At 51.8% G+C, this 20,077-nt stretch overlaps 2 protein-coding genes and 1 long non-coding RNA gene across 16 annotated transcripts in view, besides 5 other annotated features; 1 reads left to right on the plus strand and 2 right to left on the minus strand.

Moving 5' to 3' along the window:
- Window positions 1-6,791, plus strand: part of YEATS2 (YEATS domain containing 2) — a 114,828-nt gene extending 108,037 nt beyond the window's left edge. For all 14 annotated transcript variants that reach the window (XM_047448527.1, XM_047448528.1, NM_001351370.2 and 11 more), the window contains 4 exons: window positions 1,033-1,259; window positions 2,197-2,271; window positions 3,264-3,337; window positions 4,642-6,791. In XM_047448527.1, the coding sequence (XP_047304483.1) occupies window positions 1,033-1,259; window positions 2,197-2,271; window positions 3,264-3,337; window positions 4,642-4,750 (485 nt within the window). In that variant the 3' untranslated portion in view covers window positions 4,751-6,791. The remainder of the gene's footprint in view (window positions 1-1,032; window positions 1,260-2,196; window positions 2,272-3,263; window positions 3,338-4,641) is intronic.
- On the minus strand, window positions 1,231-4,618 carry YEATS2-AS1 (YEATS2 antisense RNA 1). Its single transcript, NR_046727.1, has 3 exons — window positions 4,186-4,618; window positions 2,897-3,019; window positions 1,231-2,279 (listed from the first exon to the last, which is right to left on the minus strand). It is a non-coding gene; the product is annotated as a YEATS2 antisense RNA 1 (long non-coding RNA).
- Window positions 3,801-5,000: an enhancer, noted in NCBI's record as "CDK7 strongly-dependent group 2 enhancer chr3:183527422-183528621 (GRCh37/hg19 assembly coordinates)". NCBI's record gives its function as "activates an origin of replication core promoter dependent on BRD2, BRD4, P300/CBP, MED14 and CDK7 cofactors, with strong dependence on CDK7, by STARR-seq in HCT116 cells {active_cell/tissue: HCT116}" and the evidence as "EXISTENCE:reporter gene assay evidence [ECO:0000049][PMID:35650434]".
- On the minus strand, window positions 10,089-19,744 carry MAP6D1 (MAP6 domain containing 1). The gene is made up of 3 exons (NM_024871.4): window positions 19,314-19,744; window positions 12,161-12,278; window positions 10,089-11,603 (listed from the first exon to the last, which is right to left on the minus strand). Exons 1-3 carry the CDS (start codon window positions 19,712-19,714, stop codon window positions 11,523-11,525), a joined length of 600 nt encoding a protein of 199 aa, NP_079147.1. The 5' UTR covers window positions 19,715-19,744; the 3' UTR covers window positions 10,089-11,522.
- Window positions 11,788-12,399: an enhancer, noted in NCBI's record as "H3K27ac-H3K4me1 hESC enhancer chr3:183535409-183536020 (GRCh37/hg19 assembly coordinates)". NCBI's record gives its function as "activates a minimal SCP1, AML or CMV promoter by ChIP-STARR-seq in primed H9 embryonic stem cells {active_cell/tissue: H9 hESC(primed)}" and the evidence as "EXISTENCE:reporter gene assay evidence [ECO:0000049][PMID:30033119]".
- Window positions 19,322-19,451: a silencer, noted in NCBI's record as "silent region_14948". NCBI's record gives its function as "represses an Ori minimal core promoter by ATAC-STARR-seq in GM12878 lymphoblastoid cells {active_cell/tissue: GM12878}" and the evidence as "EXISTENCE:reporter gene assay evidence [ECO:0000049][PMID:35858748]".
- Window positions 19,472-19,541: a silencer, noted in NCBI's record as "silent region_14949". NCBI's record gives its function as "represses an Ori minimal core promoter by ATAC-STARR-seq in GM12878 lymphoblastoid cells {active_cell/tissue: GM12878}" and the evidence as "EXISTENCE:reporter gene assay evidence [ECO:0000049][PMID:35858748]".
- Window positions 19,602-19,951: a silencer, noted in NCBI's record as "silent region_14950". NCBI's record gives its function as "represses an Ori minimal core promoter by ATAC-STARR-seq in GM12878 lymphoblastoid cells {active_cell/tissue: GM12878}" and the evidence as "EXISTENCE:reporter gene assay evidence [ECO:0000049][PMID:35858748]".

Below are 20,077 nucleotides of genomic sequence, written 5' to 3' on the forward strand. Positions count from 1 at the left end.
GAGAGCCTAATGCAGGATGGCCTCTCCTTTCTCTCATCTCCTGCAGCGCTTAATATCAACAGCATGAGGGCTTGTCTGACTTCGCTGTGTAAGCTACTCGGAGAGCAGAGACCGTGTTAATGATCCCCGGGCTTCACTGACATTGTGTGGAAAGCACAGTACTTGCACATACTAGGCTTCCTTTTAATCTGACTGATTCCAAACGGCCCCTAACCTACAATGGTTTGACCTGTGATTTGATGTTGTGACTTTACAATGGTCTGAAAGCTGTAGGCATCAGCACATACCTTGACTTACGATGGCCTTGTCCAGATAAGGCCATCGTAAGTTGAAAATATCCTAAGTCAAAAATGATATTTTCAACTTACGATGGGTTTTTCAGGATATAGCCCCAGCCATCATAACTTGAGGAGCAGCTGGAGCTTGTTAGAGCCCAGTCAGTAAAACAAAAGGCCAGGAGCTGGGTGCCCTTAAATCTTGTACCTGGTGTGGACCTCACACACTCATCCAGAAAGTGGAAGGGCACTAGTGCCCTAGATCTGGCCTTGAGGTCCTCACACTCCTGATTAGGTTTTGTATAAATCACCTTATTAGAGACTGGACCCATAATATACATTGAAATGTTAACAGTCCTGCTCTCTGAGCAGTGAGAATAGGGGTGATTCTTTTTATTTTCTTCACTCTGCATTTCTAAATTTTCCAGATTTGAGATGAGGAAAAATCAGGTCAGTCCTTAATACTCAGAGGGAGGGGGATGACCTGGTTTTTGGTGGCAGAAGTGAGAATTCCTACTCTTTCATCTTAGATGGCAGTTACCTTACATAGATCACACACAAGATGCCTGTGTTTATGCCTTTCTCCCTCGTGAATTACTAGTTCTCATCATTATAGATCCATAGAATGTTAGAACTGGAAAGAAGGTCAGCTCCCCTGATGCTTATCCCCCTTCCTCAGACCATGGGTCTCTTGGAGACGGAAAGTCCTCTTCCGTTGGCCCCACAGCTGTTGTAACACTGCTTGCCTGTCATTTAGAGTGCCCATCATCATTCTCCTCTGCTGACAACCTCTGCCGCAAACTGGAGGACCTGCAACAGTTCCAGAAAAGGGAACCCGAGAATGAGGAGGAGGTGGACATCCTCAGCCTCTCCGAGCCAGTGAAGATAAACATCAAGAAGGAGCAGGAAGAGAAACAAGAGGAAGTCAAGTTCTACCTGCCACCAACCCCAGGGTCTGAATTTATTGGGGATGTCACACAGAAGGTAGGGGTTGTGGTGTTAATAGTTCATGCAGCAGACCAGCTCAGAGCTAGATGTTCAGACGTTCAGCTTCACAGACCCAGACCCAGGTGTTCAGCCTCACAGACACAGACTCAGACCCAGACTCTTCTGGTGCCGTAGATGCTTGACTTCCTTCTGCCTGGTTGACCCAGGTGTGCTCTCAGGGCTCCCACCGTCCCACATCAGAGCCCTTGGGCAGAAATGCTAATTACATGTGAAAACATTGCTTGTTGAACGCAGACGTGAAGCAAAGCTGGCTAGATAGAAATGGTTGATTACTCTTCATCTTGTTTTTCTCATCTGCCTCAGTAGAAGCACCTTTCCCTCATGAGGCACGTCGTACTCTTTCTGAGTTGCACGTCAGCGCGTAATCCTCCCCTGATGTGTTGATAGCTCCTGAGTGCCCCGCCTGTGGTGCAGATGGCGTGCACCTGCCTTACTATACAGGAGAGAGGTATTTATCCACCCTGCTGGAGCCTAACAGCTCTTCAGCATCTGCCAGTTGCTCAGGGCCCAAGGTGAAAGACAGTGTGCTTTCATTGGATGCCATGAAGAATGGGCAAGATGCAGTTTCCAAGTGCAAACAGGACGTTGGAGTCTGATTCCAGACCTTTCAAAGTGTTGATTGCGTATCAGAACCCAGGCAGATCCCAACCATGTTCTCCCACGAAGGAGATTTGAGAGATTTTAATAGGATTATAGTCATATTTTAAATATCAGCCAGAAATGTGGAAAAACAAGATAACATTCTTCTAGATGTTATATTCCGTGTTCCTTTCCCGTGAATTTTGCCCAATATGTTTGCAGAGTCCTCCTTCCAACCAGGCATCGCTTTGCATGTCAGGGAGGTATGCTTGTTTGGAGAGAGGCTGTTTCTAAAGCAGCGATACGAACAAACGGCTTTCTTCTGCTTTTCCAGATTGGGATCACCCTGCAGCCCGTGGCACTCCACAGGAACGTGTATGCGTCCGTGGTGGAGGACATGATCCTGAAGGTGGGTGCCTGCAGGGGCCGCCAGCCAGGAAGGATGGTTGCATCCCAGGCGGTTTGGAGTAAGGGGCAAGGACAGAAAAGGAACAAAGATAACAGGCTTTAAAATGTCTCGTCTTATTTGGGCTTAAGTTCTCTCTTTTTGTTTTTTTGTTTTTTTTCCTTCTGATTTTTAAATGGACTAAGTTATGTTTCCTCTGAGTCATGTGGTTTCAGGTGCCTCCTAAGACGTATTCTGGGGGTGGTGGTCAGTGTGCTCGTTGCTTTAGGAGGTGGCAGAGACAAAGCCTATGGTTTTCTGTACACGTCACAACAGCAAACAGCCCCAACTGTCCTGACCCTGGCAAGGGGACGAAAATGCCGCAGCCTCCTTCCCCAGCCTGATCCTAGCTCAGCAGTTCCTTTCCTCGTGGATCCTCTCCAAGAATAGGGATACCTCCGTAACAACTGCTTTCCTTAAATACAATGTCTAGGGCTGGGCGCGGTGGCTCATGCCTGTAATCTCAGCACTTTGGGAGGCCGAGGCGGGTGGATCATTTGCAATCAGGAGTTGGAGACCAGCCTGGCCAACATGGTGAAACCCCATCTCTACTAAAAATAAAAAATTAGCTGGGCTTGGTGGCGCTCACCTGGTAATCCCAGCTACTTGGGAGGCTGAGGCAGGAGAATCGCTTGAACCCGGGAGGCGGAGGTTGCACTGAGCCAAGATCGCGCCACTGCGCTCCAGCCTGGGCGCGAGAGTGAGACTCCATCTCAAAATAAATAAATAAATAGAATAATGTCTGATTAATGAAAATCACTCCAATTCATAATTTCTCAGAATCATGGCCTTTATCATTATGGTCTATTATTGAGGCCTTTAATTTTTTCTTAAGGACTTTTTAATCCCTAGTTGCAGTGGTTTCAAACATTTGGGGTAAGGGATGGGGTTAAATGTGTCCCTTCTTGCCAGCAAGCAGATGGCCATTTGAAGAATAACAGCATCTTCCATTGTAGGCTACAGAACAGCTGGTGAATGATATCCTGAGACAGGCTTTGGCAGTTGGATACCAGACAGCTTCTCACAACAGGTATTACTATCTCTGCAGTCTGTGGTGTGAGGCTTACACCTCTTTCCTAACAGTTGAATTGCCCATGAAGGTGTTTTATACTTACATCAATCCAGTAGGAGATGGAGTGAGTGCTTAGGACACTCTTAGAGCCAGATGAGCTCAAGGGTCTGCTTTGTCATTTTTAGAGAACCTCATGGTTGTGAAAGCTCACTCAGCTTTGCTCAGAGGTTTATATCCTCCTCATTACTTCACAGACACCTAGGACTCTGTTTTATTACAGGGTTGAATAAATATTAGCTTTGCAATTAAAGATAACAGTGTCCATTACATGTCAGACACGAGGGCCAAGCGTTGCATATATTACCTAATTTGTTTTTCATTGCAGAACTATTATTCTCTTTTTAAAAATCAGGAAACCGGGCTTTGAAAGGTAATTTTACCCAGCTTACCCAGCAAATACAGTGTAGACCTGGACTTCCGACTCAGGTCTCATTGGCTCTGAGGCCCCTGGGCTCGCCACTGCTCTTTGCTGACTCGTTGTCTTTGATTAAGACACTGAGTTTCAGTCTGTTCCTAGGCCCTGAAAGGATGGTAGATAGGCCACATCTGCTTTTCTTTCGGAGGAAACAAATATTATTTTATTGCATTATGCTAAAGGCTGTCACAGATTTATAAAATTGTAGCAAAGTGCCTGAGGACATGAAGGGCCTAAATCAGAGGAATAGTAGATGAAACTTCACAGGAATATATCAGACAACATAGGCGTCTTTAGAGAAAAGGAAGGGGAACCAAGAGTTCCGGTCCTGCTGCCCACTGTCCTGCTTGGACCCACAAGTGAGCCAGGGCCTCCTGTGGCCCCTGCTTACCTCTGTGCTCCCTGTCCTGGAGGGGTAGAGTGACTTAGGTGCTTTTGATGGAACGATTAACATCACGCCTGGCCTGGCGTGGCTCCGTCTCCCGTCTTTCTAGGAGATGGGAAATAAGGTCCCAGAGTTTTGTGGTGCTTTGACTCAGCTTTCGGTCTGCTGAGACTCACTCACAAATGTGTCATTCCGTTCTGCCATCCGCTTTGTTTTCTTTCTCTTTTCTCAGTTCTCAGAATCTTTTTTCCTAATTATTCAACCAACTTGTTGACATCCTTCTCATGCCTATGACAGGAAGGCAGTCCTCACCCCAGAGTGGCCCTAAGCTATGTCTGTGGCTCAGGAGCCCTCTCCACGGGGCCTCTGCCTGGGATGGTCCCTGTGATGAGTTAAGTGAATAAATGATGAGATATACGTGAGAGAATTTCACCTGGTAACACCCTTTGTTTTTTGGACCAGGATTCCCAAAGAAATTACAGTGAGTAATATTCACCAGGCCATTTGCAACATTCCTTTTCTGGACTTCCTCACAAACAAACACATGGGAATATTGAATGAGGACCAGTGAGCGGAGTGAGGTGCCCTGGAGAAGCAGGCTTTGAAGGCACAGCGAAGCTGTAACTGAGGACCCTGCTGCTCGGGAAGGAGGTGGTTTCCAGTGTGACTCGGCATGTCATGGCTACCCAACCTTTGCCGCTGCCTGTTCCCACGTGTCACCAGCACGCTGCACTCCAGATGAAATCCTCCTAGGACAGGAGTTTGTTTCCTGAGTGTGGAGTGAGGCTGTCAGTGGATCCGTGCTTTGTCGGCCAGCGTTTCTGCAGTCTTTGTAAAGGCCCCACGAGAGCGGGCCAGGCCGTGTGCCTCAGGCCCTTCTCCCTGGGTGTGCTTAAGGGGGCTCCTTGGGCCCGCCTCCCCAGGAGGTAGAAAATGAGTGGCAGGCTAGAGATTTCACCCATTTTGTGGGCTGGAGTTACCAGTAGCTCCAGCAGTTACCCTGAAGAGAGATTGGGCTTCAGCCTTCAGCAGGTGGTTCTCTCCCATGCCTGGCCTTGGTGTGGAGGGGCTGTACTCTGAGCCCAAGTGAGTCAGCTATAGGAAGAGGCCATACCTAGAGCCAAGAACCATGAAGGCCTGAGAGACGGCAGACTGAGCAGAATTCCTTTTTTGAGCACGAGAGCATTACTAGAACCATTGTCAAAGCAGTGGCAAGGGACGGAGAGGTCCCAACAGGAGTCAGGAAGAGGTTTGATTATAACCAAGAAAACTCACTATGCTAGGAATAGACTGTGTGCACCAGTCCCAGACACTTGGCAGAAGTGTAGCAGCGTTACACATGTGTGCGAAGCAGATCGCAGGTTCCACGCCATCTGCATGGCCTGCAGGAGCTTCTGCTGCTGACCCCATGCTGAGTGGCCAGTGGGGAGCGGCGCCCGGCAGGCTCTTCTGGGGTCGTCTGTCCTATCCGTGGATTGTATATACTCTTCTCTGTTAAGGAGTTTTTCCCAAGAAGAAAAGTATTTAAAAGAAATACCAGTGAGTGCCTTAAAGTTGGAGAAGTAACTGCCCATGCCCAGAAATAAGGATGCCAGTGCCCAGAAGCAGTGAGATTAGTCTGTGTCCACAAGCAGAGGCCCCCTCGATGGGAGGGAGTGGCAGGCAGGAGAAGGTGGCGCTGCCAGGTGCCCGGGTCTATTGGAGGCGCCCCATCTCAGACTTCCTAACACAGCCTGTGTGGAAGGCAGAACAAAGAATGCATGCCCAGTCAGAAATCTGTTCTATTCTGCTCCAGGAAAATCGGAAACCTGTGAGTCAGAGTCAGAGAAACTTACCCAAGCAACGTAATTCCTGTTTTCATGGGTCCTGTAGATGTTTGAGTCAGGAAGGTAAGGCGGGGAGTGACTGAATAAACTCTGCCTTTTAAATTGAGCATCTGGGCCGGGCATGGTGGCTCACGCCTGTAATCCCAGCACTCTGGGAGGTCGAGGTGGGTGGGTCACCTGAGGTTGGGAGTTCGAGACCAGCCCGACCAACATGGTGAAACCCCGTCTCTACTAAAAATACAGAAAATTAGCTGGGCATGGTGGTGTGTGCCTGTAATTCCAGCTACTCGGGAGGCTGAGGCAGGAAGAATCACTTGAACCCAGGAGGCGGAGGTTGCAGTGTGCCAAGATCATACCACTGCACTCCAGCCCTGGTGACAGAGGAGACCCCGTCTCAAAAATTGATTGATCAATTCAGCATCTGAGGGCTGCAAGTACAGAAGGAATCTATTCTCAGCAGGGCATAGGGCACGCACTGGCTTAACAGTTTAGTATATAAGGCTCAAATAGTCTATACCTGAACTGCTATAAGCAAGGTCGATAGGGAAGTGGATAGATTGCTTCAGCAAAGTGAACTGTGAGATCTCCAGGACAGAGGGAGAAAGATCTGATCCAAATGAGAACAGATTGGTTATTGCAGGTATCACAGCCTAAAGAAATTATCTTTTTGCAAAAGAAATATTAAATGATTTAGCAGTCTCCACGTGTGTTAATGTTTCAAACGTGTATCATAATGTGTATAATTGTGTAACAAAATTGTCTACAATAAATCTTTTGGTATTTGTGGTGGGTGTTTCTGAGTTTGAAGCATGGTACTCAGGCAGGGTTCTCCCTGCACTGGGATGAGGTGATGGTGTAGAGTCTTATTGATATGTTTAAATTAATTCCTCTACTTCTTGCCAAAAAAAAAAAAATGTTGCAACCGTATAAGATAAAGGATTACAGTTACATAAAAGTCTAAAAAAAATTTGGAAATGGACATAATTATTCCTGACAGCTTGGGGCAAAAGAAAACTGCATAAATGAGCTCAGAGCTTCCTTAAAGCCAAGGCAGAGAGAGAATCAGCTCCTCGTGTCTAACAAAGAAACATACCGGGTTATCTGGCAGGGTAAAATTGGACTGTGTTGAGGACTGAAACAAGTCACTCCTGTGACACGGTCCTTATGCTGTGACCATCTGCTAGCATATGGCTCAGAAATAGTGAAAAATCCAGAAACGTAAGAGCTGAAAGATTTTGAAAGCTTTGGTTCTTCAAAGGCATTATGATACAGTCCAAGTATGTAACTTTCTGGGGACCAGACTTTGCTGAGAGTCATAATGGAGAGTCAAAGAGTCTGATGGCTGAGAGGGGTGTGCCTAGGCTTGCCTTCATAAATGTTCATTGTCTCAGCCAAGGTTTTGGCAGGAGCGAGAGCAGGCTCAGATCAGTGTCACAGGCAGTACCTTACGTGACTTGGACTCCAAGTTATTGATGGAAGGAGTCCTGTGTGAACGGGGCCAACAGAACTGGCTTTGGGGCTTCATCATCATCTTGACCCTGTTCAAAGGGGAGGTTCTTCCATTTGTCTGGGGTGGGCTGCAGGGCCTAGCTTTTTTCAAAAGCTGCTTTTGGGAACGTGGCCTGAGTCCTGGAGTTCTGTACCATGGAGCACAGAGAGGCGAGACCTTGTTCTAAATGCCTGCAAACCCCCTCGACTTGCGGAAGGATCTTTAGGACTTTCCACCTGCAGAGCGTCATAGTGCAGCCCGTGGCTGCTTGAGGCAGCTCCCGCAGTGGCAGCTTGGGTTGTGAAATAATTAAAAAGTTAACATTTTCTTTTGTCTGGAATTTGCTAACATGTTGAACTGCTTTTTATTTATTTAGAGACAGAGTCTGGGCCGGGCACGGTGGCTCATGCCTGTAATCCCAGCACTTTGGGAGGCCGAGGCAGGCAGATCACAAAGTCAGGAGATCGAGACCATCGTGGCCAACATAGTGAAACCCCGTCTATACTAAAAATATAAAAATTAGCCAGGCGTGGTAGCAGGTGCCTGTAATCCTAGCTACTCAGGAGGCTGAGGCAGGAGAATCGCTTGAACCTGGGAGGCGGAGGTTGCAGTGAGCCGAGATCGTGCCATTGCACTCCATCCAGCCTGGGTGACAAGAACAAGACTCCATTGTCTCAAAAAAAAAAAAAAAAAAAAGAGTCTGCTCTCTCGCCCAGGTTGGAGTGCAGTGGCACGATCTCAGCTCACTGCAACCTCCGCCTCCTGGGTTCAAGTGAGCACGTCTGGCTAATTTTTGTATTTTTAGTAGAGATAGGGTTTCACCATGTTGACCAGGCTGGTCTCAAACTCCTGACCTCAAGTGATCCACCTGCCTTGGCCTTCCAAAGTGCTGGGATTACAGACATGAGCCACCATGCCTGGCTTGCTTTTTATTTTTAAGAACTTTTTCTTTACAGAATTATTATAAAAATGTTTACAGAAACTTTAGCAAGCATAAAAAATGTGTTTGAAAAACTACTCATAATTCCTCCTCTGAAAGATAATCACTGCTAACATCTCTCAGTGCCTTTCTTTCAGTCTTATATGCGTATTATGTATGTGTGTGAGAGATGATTGATAGATAGCTATGAGTTGGGACCACATGGTTGAGACTTGTCTGTCTCAGTTGCTTCTTGGGTCACTTGCTGAACATGTTAGGCCTGATTATTTAGACCTAAGTGAGTGGGAAGGAGTTTCAGCATAACCCACATCTCCTCATAAAGAGGCCAGGCTGGGTGCAGTGGCTTACACCTGCAATCCCAGTGCTTTGTGGAGGCTGAGGCAGGAGGATTGCTTGAGCCCAGGAGTTCAGGACCAGCCTGGGCAACCATAGGGAGACCCTGTTTCTACAAAATGTACAAAAATAAATAAAAAATGGCCGGGTGTGATAGCTCAACGCCTGTAATCCCAGCACTTTGGGAGGCTGAGATGGGAGGATCATCTGAGGTCAGGAGTTCGAGACCAGCCCAGCCAACATGACGCCCCGTCTCTACAAAAATTAGCTGGGCATGGTGGTGGGCGCCTGTAATCCCAGCTACTCGGGAGGCTGAGGTGGGAGAATATCGCTTGAACGTGGGAGGCAGAGGTTGCAGTGAGCCGAGATTGCACCACTGCACTCCAGCCTGGGTGACAGCCAAAAAAAAAAAAGCCAGGCATGGTGGCATGCCCCTGTGGTCCCAACTACTCGAGAGGCTGAGGCGGGAGGATCACTTGAGCCCAGGAGGTTGAGGATGCAGTGAGCAGTGTTCACACCACTGGGTGACAAAGCAAGACCCTGCCTCGATGATGATGCACCCTCAGAGCAACACTGGAGTTGGTGTCTGTGAAAAGCTGTCTGCTGTGCATTGCAGAGGCTCTTGACCATCTGTTTGTTTGTCTTGCAGTCAGGCCTGTCTGGTGTGGTGAGGCCTCCACTGCGGCTGCCCCACCAGCACTGCCAGGAAGGGGCAGGCCCGGTTGGTCCTGGCTGAGCTGCAGCAGAGCTGACCAGCCCATTATAGGAAAAGAACAAACAAGCATCTGGGCGCTGTGCAGGGTGACGTTGGCCAGGGGGGGTGAGGGGCTGGGAGCACACGGCATCAAGCTAGAGGATGCTGGGAGCTGCAGGTGGGAACACAGCTGGCTCCCAGGGAAAGTGAGGAGGGGGGACTAAGGCAGGAAAGAATAATCCTAACACCTGTGCCTCAGTTATTTCCTGTACTGAGCACCCCACCCATAAACACGGATGCTCTTGGCAAGCCACAAGGTGTAGCTGGTAGCGTCGTCACTTCTCAGTGAAGAAACGGAACCCCAGTTGCTCACAGGTAGCAAGTGAAGCTGGGATTAGAGCCTGAGGAGCTTCAGAGAGAGGCGCCTGGGTGAGGGTAGGGGACGGGTGGGTTCTGTGGGCTGCACCTACCACATGTGCTCTGCACCCCACAGCAAGAAGTGCTCAGCATCAACAGGCCTCTGAGGTGTGGCGGCAGCTGCACCACACTGAAGTCCTTAGCACCAAGAGACTGGAGAAAACAAGCGTGAGAAGACTCGTGCTTATAATTTAAGAAACTGAAACTACATTTTTGCATTTTAGTAAAATCTGAGATTGTACAGTTTTTAATCTCATTTCCACAGACACCCAGCAGGCAGCCTCTTTTCTCTTAGAAAAATCAAACATGCAAGCCGTGAAGTCAGGAATAGCTGAACCCCTTGGATAAGCACACGCTTTGGGCTTCTTTAAAGCGAGCCTCTCATCAAGAGCATTTCCTTTGCTGGCATGAGGGGAGGGCTGTGCCTGCCAGGGCTAGCACCTGGGAGGGACGCTGACAGGCAGTCGGAGCTGGAACCACTGTCCCACCTGCACGTCTGGTGGCTCTGAGACCCGAGTGCCACCACCTGCAGCTTAAATGCTCGTCTCACTAGAGCCACTTGTGGGCTGGAGAGGAAGAAAGATCCAAAGGGAAATCCACAAATTTCCTTACTGAAGACTGTCCTGAGCTTGTACCTCTAAGCTTTAAAAAGAGACGAAGACCCCTCAAACGTGTGAAGGCACCAGGCGTGACCCATGTGGCCATGCTGGCTGGAATTTACGGAGGAAGTTAGGAGAGAGCTTTGCAAAGAAAATGAACTGCCTCTTCAAAAGGTGGTGAGTTCCCCGTCACTGTACATGTGAGCAGGGTAGACGGAAGGGTTGGTGTAGAGGACATTTTAAGGTATTTCAGGGAATGAGACAAATGCCACCTTCCCAAAAACAGTTCCAGTTCTCAGCCAGTGTGTATGATAGTGCCCTGCTCATCATCCTTATGTTAGCGGGAAAATCATTAGTAACAAAATGTGGATTCAATCTTTAGAACCTAGCACAAGGTAAATGTGAGTCATTCAATCCCAAGAACTGTTTTGTTAAAACATGAGGCTCATCTTGGCCATAAGGAGGTCTGTGAAGTGGAAGCCCGTGACTGACGGTCTGTTTCTTCTGGAAATTTCCTCCTGGATACTCAGCATCACCATGAGTCATGCAGGTGACGGCCCAAGATTCCAACAGCTTCAACTGCAGGGGCCATTTGTAGGAAGAGCCAAGGGTCTCACTGTAGGTTATGAAATTAATCAAGTGCTCACGCATCCTGGGAAATCCACCAAAAGTGGACATAACTGGTTCTTTCAAGGGCCGGATGTGTCCACATTCCTCAGCTTCCATGGACCAATTCGGTTCCCAACTGACTTGATCCTCAGGCTCCTCAGAGATTTCAAAACTGAGAGACGGCCAGATGGCAGTTAACGAACGCAGGAGCCTTCCACAGGCTTCTCAAGAGGATGCTTGAGGCTGAGCTGGGTGTGCCAAGTCCATCGGTGCATCTGCTCCACACCAGCACTTTGGCCCTGGTGACAGCTTTGAGAGGGGCTGTGCCCTCCCGCAGGGGCCCATGCCATGCTCTCGCCCAGCCCCGCGGCAGTGGGTCCTGAGGCCGCTCCCCAGCCCTGTCCTGTCGGCAGCCATGGTGTCACGGTGCAGGCAGTCACACGTTGAGAATCCGGGGAGCTGAGGCCTGAAAGATGGCGGAGGGGTTAGGAGTGAACTTCTTCCTCACCTCTGGGACCTGAAAAATGAAGTGTGGCCACATATCAGTGGGACTTTTCCTTAACTCCCTACTCTTCCCCACTACCCAGCTCCAGGAAAAAATCCCCTCCCATCCTCTGCATCCTCCAGGAGTTGAGACCTGAAGGGTCAGAGGGGACTTGCCCACCGTGAGCCATAGGCGTCACTGCATTAGCAGCTGAGTGGTACACGGACCTTCCATTCTGCTCCCTGAACCACTTGGGAATCGGAGCTGAGATGCCCCCACTCCCTTCCATCGTCTCTTTCCTCTTACACAAATGCTGTGGTACTCAGGCCAGTCACTAGCGTTCAGTGGCCAAGGGTAAGATGGGGATTTAGGAGGCAGAGAGACCCTGCTCACCAGAGAGGCCAACGCTAGAGGGCCACCCAGCTGGCTACTGATGAGGAAGTACCTTGGGTTTTTGTTCGGGACATCTGGTTGGCACTGCTGTCCCTGGTCATAATTGCATTTTACACCATGAAAATCTGGCTCCTAATCCCTACCCGGGGAAAGAGGCCTCTATACCCACACCCCTGCTACACCAGCTTCCGGCTGACCTGGAAGCCGGCCCCAGGGCTGCTGTCCCATCCCGAAGTGTGGGTTGTGATGACTCGGGCTGGTTTTGTCTTTGTGGATCTTGAGGGCTTCACTCCAGTCCAAGCCTGGAATTCCTGTCTGGAACAGAGAACACGGTCACAAGCTTGCACAGGGTCAGCCACCCCTTTACCGACTCCCCAGGGGCTGCTGCTCTGCCCCATGCACGGCCCTGCCAATTGCTGAAACCCTCGGCTCCAGGCAGTCCTCATCATCTTCCCAAAGACAGAACTGGCAAGGCAAGTGCACTCCCGTGCAGGCCCAGCTCCAGGAGAAAGGTGTGTGGCTGCCTGGCCCCTCACCTCAGCGATCCACTGGGAAATCTGGGCTCACCCCGGTCCCTAAGGAAGTAGGAGAGGAAGCTTATTCTCACACTGCAGGCGAGCGGCAGGGTCAGGGCAGAGCTCAGTTAGCACCTGGGTCTCATTCAGAACGCAACAGCACCTGGCACTGCTGGGTCTTGGAGACGAGCAGCCCCGGTGCTATACCTGCACCCCCTGCGATTCTCCCACACCTGCCCCTCCAGAGCCAGGCTGCTTCAAGAGACCCAGGTCATGGTGACTGCTTATGCCTGAAGAGGAAATGCCCTCAGCACCGGGCACAGCCCTGGCTTGCCAGACCCGCTTAAGACTGAAAAGAAAAATAAGGCTCAGAACTTTTAGTTTTTTATACTTTGTCTCATTAACTCATGCAGAAGAATGGATCGCAGTGACCATCTCAAAAGACTCCAAGGTGGCCTGGCCTTTGCACAGCTCTGTGCATGGTGGAGGGAGTGGATCATGCGCTGTTGCTGAGCCTGTGGCGGGGAGGGTGGTGTGATGGGGGAAGGCGGGCCCTGGAGGGAGAGGATGAGGCTGGCACCGCTAGCTCCATGTACCGGGAGCAGCTTTCTCCATGAAAAGACAGTGCTTCCATTTCTCTGAACAAAAGGGACCTCCTTTAATTCTACCCACTCCTCTGCAAGATGGGGAGCTCAGAAGGCAGAAGTCCCTGTGTCCCAGGAGCACCTGGCCAAGGTGGAAGTGTCCAGCTAGCTGGGCCTGGCACCCACGTGTGCGGAGTTGCTCCTGCCCAGGCTGGACACTGCCGGGGTTGGGCTTCAGGCCCTGAGGTCAACAAAGCTGCCTTTCTCCTTGGCAGCTGCAAAGCTGGGGCACCACTGGGCAGGCTGCGTGGGCAGGGAATGGCTGTGTCCATGGCCAGCACTGGGGTGCCAGGAGGAGAGCTAGGCCGGGGCCCCGTCAGGTAATTTTCACTCCCGAAGCCGCGAGCTTCTGAAGACCAGCTGCCCAAACCATATGCTGCTCTGTTCCTCCTGCGGAAGCAGGTCCTCCCCTGGGCGCGCCCTTCTGTCCCCAAAACACTTCACATGCCCACGCTGAGCCTTGGGCCTGGCATCCTGAGCCCGCTGCCCTGAGGTGGCTGCAGGGGTCTCAGAGCAGGAAGCCACCAGAGCCACAGACGACAGCAATCCTGGCGGCCGCCAGAGGAGGAACCCGGGGCTGGAGCCCAGATGGGAGAGGGGACCTTAAAGATGGAATGGGCAGGACCCGGTGACTGCCTGGAGAGAAAGAAAACAGACTCATGGCTCAGGCCAAGATTAGTAAGAAATACAGGCCTCCCTGCCTGCTGTGCCCCCATACAGTGCTCAAGCATGTTCCGGCATCAGCCCCGGACAGAGGATTGGGAGGCCTGGGTTCTCAGCCCAACATGGCTTCAGACACATTCCTCAACTTCCCTGAGCCTCAGTTTCTTCTGAAAAGTGGGGCTGCTGACCCATGTGCCTGAGGCTGTTGTGAGTCTTCGTTTCGGGCACTCAGTAAAGTGGGGCCAAGTCTTGTGGAACTTGAATATCAGCCCTTTAACTGCCCCACCTAGGCAGGAAGGAGGGAAGCAACCAGGGAGCAAGGACTGCCTTCCAGAAGTGGGCGGGGCTAGCAACTGGGCCAAAGATGCCCAATGGCCCAGAGAGAATTCAGAGGGGGCCTGTCAGGTGGAAGGAGCCAGGCTGGATGTGGGTAGGACCTGCTGTGCCCATGTGGCCAGGCAGGCAAGGCAGATCAACTCACGTGCAGACCAGAAGCCAGCAAGGCAGGTCCTGCAGGGGTGAAGAAGCTGAGGCCCGGGGATCCTGGGTACTCCCTCAAGAACCTTGAGTTAGGAGTGGCCTCACATCTTCAGGATTCCTGGCTCTGTTCGTTTCCTTGGCTTTCTGAATTTCTTAAGTTTGCTTAGATGATGTACATCTTACAAGACAAGGCTGGAGGGAGTGGCTTGTATCAGGTCCCAGAGCTGGAAGGTGGGGGTCCCAGAGGCCCACTGGCATGGCGCTGGGAGGGTCAAGTTCAACAGTGATCCTGTGTTTCTGCCCGAATTGGGGGCAGGGGTCCAGGCAGCCAAGCTCTTGCTATTCCTGCTTTTCGGATGAAGAAAGGGTCAGAGAGGCTGACCCAGCCAGGCGCGGTGGCTTAACGCCTGTAATCTCAGCACTTTGGGAGGGCAAGGCGGGCAGATCATGAGGTCAAGAGAACGAGACCATCCTGGCCAACATGGTGAAACCCCGTCTCTACTAAAAATACAAAAATTAGGCCAGGCACAGTGGCTCATGCCTGTAATCCCAGCACTTCAGGAGGCTGGGGCGGGCGGATCACGAGATCAGGAGATCGAGACCATCCTGGCTAACACGGTGAAACCCCGTCTCTAGTAAAAAAAAAAAATACATAAAAATTAGCCAGGCATGGTGGCGGGCGCCTGTAGTCCCAGCTACTCGGGAGGCTGAGGCAGGAGAATGGCGTGAACCCGGGAGGCGGAGGTTGCAGTGAGCCAAGGTTGCGCCACTGCACTCCAGCTTGGGCAACAAAGCAAGACTCCATCTCAAATAAATAAATAAATAATACAAAATAAAAATACAAAAATTAGCTGGGTGTGGTGGTGGGCGCCTGTAGTCCCAGCTACTCTGGAGGCTGAGGCAGGAGAATCGCTTGAACCCGGGAGGCGGAGGTTGCAGTGAGCCGAGATGGCGCCACTGCACTCCAGCCTGGTGACAGAGTGAGACTCCGTCTCAAAAAAAAAAAAAAGAAAAAAAGAGAGGCTGACCCACCTGAATTTACACACCAGGAGGTAAGAACCCCAACAAGCCCCGACTCCTGTCTGTCAAGGCTTTTCCACAGCTGGCCTCAGGACACAGTTCAAGAAAGCAAGTGACTCCAAGGAGGCAGCTCTTAAGGGATGAAAACCCATGGGGGCTACAAATTTGATCTCTGGGGCAAGTCACACGGGTTCCACTCCCTTCTCTGCCATTCAGAGCTGTGCCAGCCACTCAGTTTCCTTGTCTGTAGAATGGGGACGGCAAGCACTACACGAAGGCTGCAGGGGGCTAACCTCAGGGAGTGCTGAGCCTGGTGTGCGTTAAAGCAGAGAAGGCGACAGCTAGTACCTTCACCGTCACCAGAGCTGGGAGGGCCCGGCAGGACATTCACTCACCACATGTTCCACACAGATGAGGGATTGCTTTTTTTTTTTTTTTTTTTTTTGAGATGGAGTCTCGCTCTATTGCCCAGGCAGGAGTGCAGTGGCTCTATCTCGGCTCACTGCGTCCTCCACCTCCTGGGTTCAATGGATTCTCCTGCTTCAGCCTCCCGAGTAGCTGGGATTACAGGTGCGTGCCATCACGCCCAGCTAATTTTTAGTAGAGATGGGGTTTCACTATGTTGGCCAGGCTGGTCTCGAACTTGGGATCTGCCCATCTCATCCTCCCAAAGTGCTGGGGTTATAGGGGTGAGCCACCACGCCCGGCCTAATTTTTATATTTTTAGTAGAGACGGGGTTTCACCATGTTGGCCAGGATGGTCTTGAACTGACCTCAGGAGATCCGTCCATCTCGGCCTCCCAAAATGCTGGGATTACAGGTGTGAGCCACTGCGACCGGCCTCTTTTTAACTTTAAAATAAAAAAAAAGTAACTTCTGTGATAAGCATCCTTACAGCTAAATCTTTGTTCATATCATCATTTCTTTGGGATAAATTCCTAACTGTGGAATTAAAGAGCCAAAAAGTATGAACTTATCCCCCCAATTTTATTAGTTTTAAAAACCAAGCTGGGCACAGTGGCTGATGCCTTTAATTCCAGCACTTTGGGAGGCTGAGGCAGGAGGATCGCTTGAGCCCAGGAATTTGAGACCAGCCTGGGCAACATAAACCCCATCTCTAAAACACACACACACACACACACACACACACACACACACACACACACACACACACAAAACCCCACATGTAGTGCCCACCTGTGGTCTCAGCTACTCGGGAGGCTGAGGTGAGAAAATCACTTGAGCCTGGGAGGTTGAGGCTGCAGTGAACTGAGATCATGTCCCTGCACTCCAGCCTGGGCAACAGCAGCAACAACAACAAAACAAACAACAACAAAAAAACCCCCCAAAAACCCAACTGTATCAAGGCATTATTTCCAAACCATACAATTCATCCATTAAAAACATACAGCTGGATGACTTTTGACAAATGTAACCACTTGGGTACCACCACCATTATCAAGACACAAAGAACATTCCATGTCCCCAGGAGGAGGCTCCCTCATAGGTCGGCACTTTGTAAGGAACTCGCTGGGGGACAGTGGTTGCAGGGTGGGTCTTGCATTCACTGACACGTCCTCAAGCTGAGCCGCCAAAGCTGGAGTGGGCAACACTGAGCCGCAGCGCTCAGGCCCTAGACTAGCCAGCTGGAGGGGCCTGAATAGCGGAGAGTCTGGAAGGCCAGGGGTCCTGAGCGTGCAGCGCATTCCAGCGGCTGAAGTTCTAGGCACCAGAGCAGGGCAAGGGGTGGAGCTTGCAGGGAGACAGCTTCAGCTCCGGGAAGGAAGCGCTTTCTGTCAGTTACAACAGTCTGCCCATGGAGCGAGCTGACTTGCATGGCGCTGGGCTCCTCTTTACTAGGGATGTTCTAGCAGAGGCTTAGCTTTTATTTATTTGAAGCAAGGTCTTGCTCTGTTGCCTAGGTGGAGTGCAGTGGCACAAACACTGCTCACTGCAGCCTCGACCTCGCAGGCTTGAGGGATCCTCCCACCTCAGCCTCCCAAGTAGCTGGAATCACAGGCAGGCACCACCACGCCCAGCTAATTTTCTATTTTTTGTAGAGGCAGGGTCTCACTATGTTGCCCAGGCTGGTCTTGAACTCCTGGGCTCAAGTGATCCTCCCACCTAAGCTTCCCAAAGTGCTGGGATTACAGGTGTGAGCCACCATGCCTGGCTGGCTTAGCTTTTAGAAGGAGTCCCTCATCCGGGCATGGTGGCTCATGCCTGTAATCCCAGCACTTTGGGAGGCCGAGGCAGGCGGATCATGAGGTCAGGAGTTCAAGACCTGCCTGACCAACATGGTGAAACCCCATCTCTACTAAAAATACAAAAAATTAGCTGGGCGTGATGGCACACACCTATAATCCCAGCTACTCAGGAAGCTGAGGCAGAAGAATTGCTTGAACCTAGGAGGCGGAGGTTACAGTGAGCCAAGATGGCGCCACTGCTCTCCAGCCTGAGCGACAGAGCGAGACTCTGTCTCAAAAAAGAAAAAAATCAAAAATAAAAATAAAAATAAAAATTAACTGGGCATGGTGGCACAAGCCTGTAATCCCAGCTACTCGGGAGGCTGAGGCAGGAGAATTGCTGGAACCAGGGAGGCAGACATTGCAGTGAGCCGAGATTGCACCACTGCACTCCAGCCTGGGTGACAGAGCGAGACTCCGTCTCCAAAAAAAAAAGTTAAAAAGATAGGCAATACATGGACATGTTACAAAGGCAAAAAAAGCAATCGTTCAAAAGAGCAGAGTGAAAAGCCTTCCACCCCTGGCAGTCCCTATCAAGTTCCTCTCCCTAACGGTACCATCTCCTCAGACATCCATCAGGGCATCCTGTGCTTATTTGAGCATATGTGTGTATATTAATACCCCTTTTTAAAACACAAATAGCCTACGTGCTGCTGGGCACCTTGCTTTTTTGGTATGCGTATATTTAAGATCCGCTGGGTTTCAGTATCCCATTTCATGGCTGTGCTATAATTAACCAGTTCCCTACATCAGCAGGACAAGGGGTTTGTTGTACAATGTCTCCACCTATCTTACGCTCCTGAGCTCCCACCCTACCTTGTAGGATACCTGTAGGGAAAATTCCTAGTAGTGAAATAGCTGCATCAAAGGAAAAGTAGTGCTTTTAATAGTCCCACATTAGAAACACCCTAAATAGTCAATGGTAAGGAAGTAGATAAATAAAACTTGAAGATATAAAGGCATATCCATAGGATAAAATACTGCACGTTTATTAAAATTCATGTTGCAGAACATGTAGTAACACGGACAGACTTCTACAACTGGTGAAAAAAGTGTACAGTAAGAATCTAACCACGTAAAAATATATCAGTGCATATGCACCAAATGCACATTACGGAGTAGAAAGAACTCGTCTGGGGAGGGATCAAGGAGATACGTATTTTGTTGTAATTTCTGTACTTTCCCATTTTTCTACAGTATGAATTACTTTTGTGGTAAGAGGAAAAAAGGGAGAAAGCCCTCGGCTGTCCAGGAGCAGAGCTGGGCTGGGAGGTGGGGAGGGCCCGCGGACCCGTTCTCCCTGAAAGCCCCTGTCACAGTGGGACTCTGAAGGGCTCACCCACACGGGACCCTGCGCTCGGTCCTCACCACCAACGCCCGCACACTAGGCAGTGACCGGAGAGAGCTGGGGGACATGGCCTGCGCGCACCCCTCGCACGGCTAGGCCCGGCGGTGGGAGTTAAAGGGAGGCCGGTTCCAACTCGGCTGAAGGCAGGCCATTCTGACGGCTGCCCCCAGGAGGGCGGCTGCGAGGGCAGCGGTGCGCTCCCGGCACGGGGGTGCTCGAGCACTGAGTCCGGGCATGGAGCAGCGAAGGCGCCGCCTGCAGTGCCCACGGACCAAACGGGGGTGACCTCTGAGGCCGCCGGCAGCTCCGAGGTCGCGTGGGATCCGGGCTCCAGGCGCCTCCGCTCTGCCGCCCACCCCATCCCTCTGGCTCCGGGCCTCCGCGTCCTCCCACCACAGGGTGGGGACTCGTTGCGGTCCCTACCCAGCCCATACCTGTACGACGTGGTCACTGCTGCAGCCGCGTCCGCGTCGCCGATGGGCAGCACGTAGACCCCGCGGGCGCCGGGCGCAGGTGGCGCGGAGGACTGCGCGGAGGATTTGCCCCTGCGGCCGCCCGCCCCCGGTCCGCGCCCCGGCGGCGGATCCTTGGGCCCGGCGGGCGTGGTCCACAAGCCGAAGTCCCGCTGGTACTGAGTGAGCGGCACGTCCCGGCCGGAATCCCGGGCGCCCGCGGGAGGCTGGCCCCTGCGCGAGGCGGCGCCGCCCGTGCCCGGCTCCTCGCTGTCGAGGTCCGAGTAGCCGTGCAGAGTGAGCGGCACCGCCACGTCGGAGCGGTCCAGCTGGTTCCAGCGCCGCGCCAGGCAGCACAGGCGGCTGATACAGGGCCACGCCATGCCAGCCCCGGCGCCCGCCGCCCCGCTCCCGGCGCGCGGCGCTCCCGGCCGCGCCTCCTGCGCCCAGCGTCCCCGCCCCCGCGGCCCGCCCCGCGCCGCCGCAGCACCGCCCCCCGGCACGAGGGTGGGCGTCCCGGGAGGGGGCGCACTCGGCGGCAGCCCCACTTGGCCGGGGCCGGCTGCGCACGGCTGGAGCTGGAGGGAGCGCGGATGGGGGAAAGGCTGCACCGTCGCCAGGGGGCACCGGAAACCGCCTGCATTCATTTACAAGTGTCCATCTCGAAGAATGCCTCAGAATTGAATCCAAAGTTCCCTCAGTGTCATCTTATAAATGGCCCCGGCTTCGCAGAGGCCAAGGGCCCG

This window comes from Homo sapiens, chromosome 3, assembly GCF_000001405.40.
Source record: "Homo sapiens chromosome 3, GRCh38.p14 Primary Assembly".
In the NCBI taxonomy this organism is placed as follows: Eukaryota; Metazoa; Chordata; class Mammalia; order Primates; family Hominidae; genus Homo; species Homo sapiens.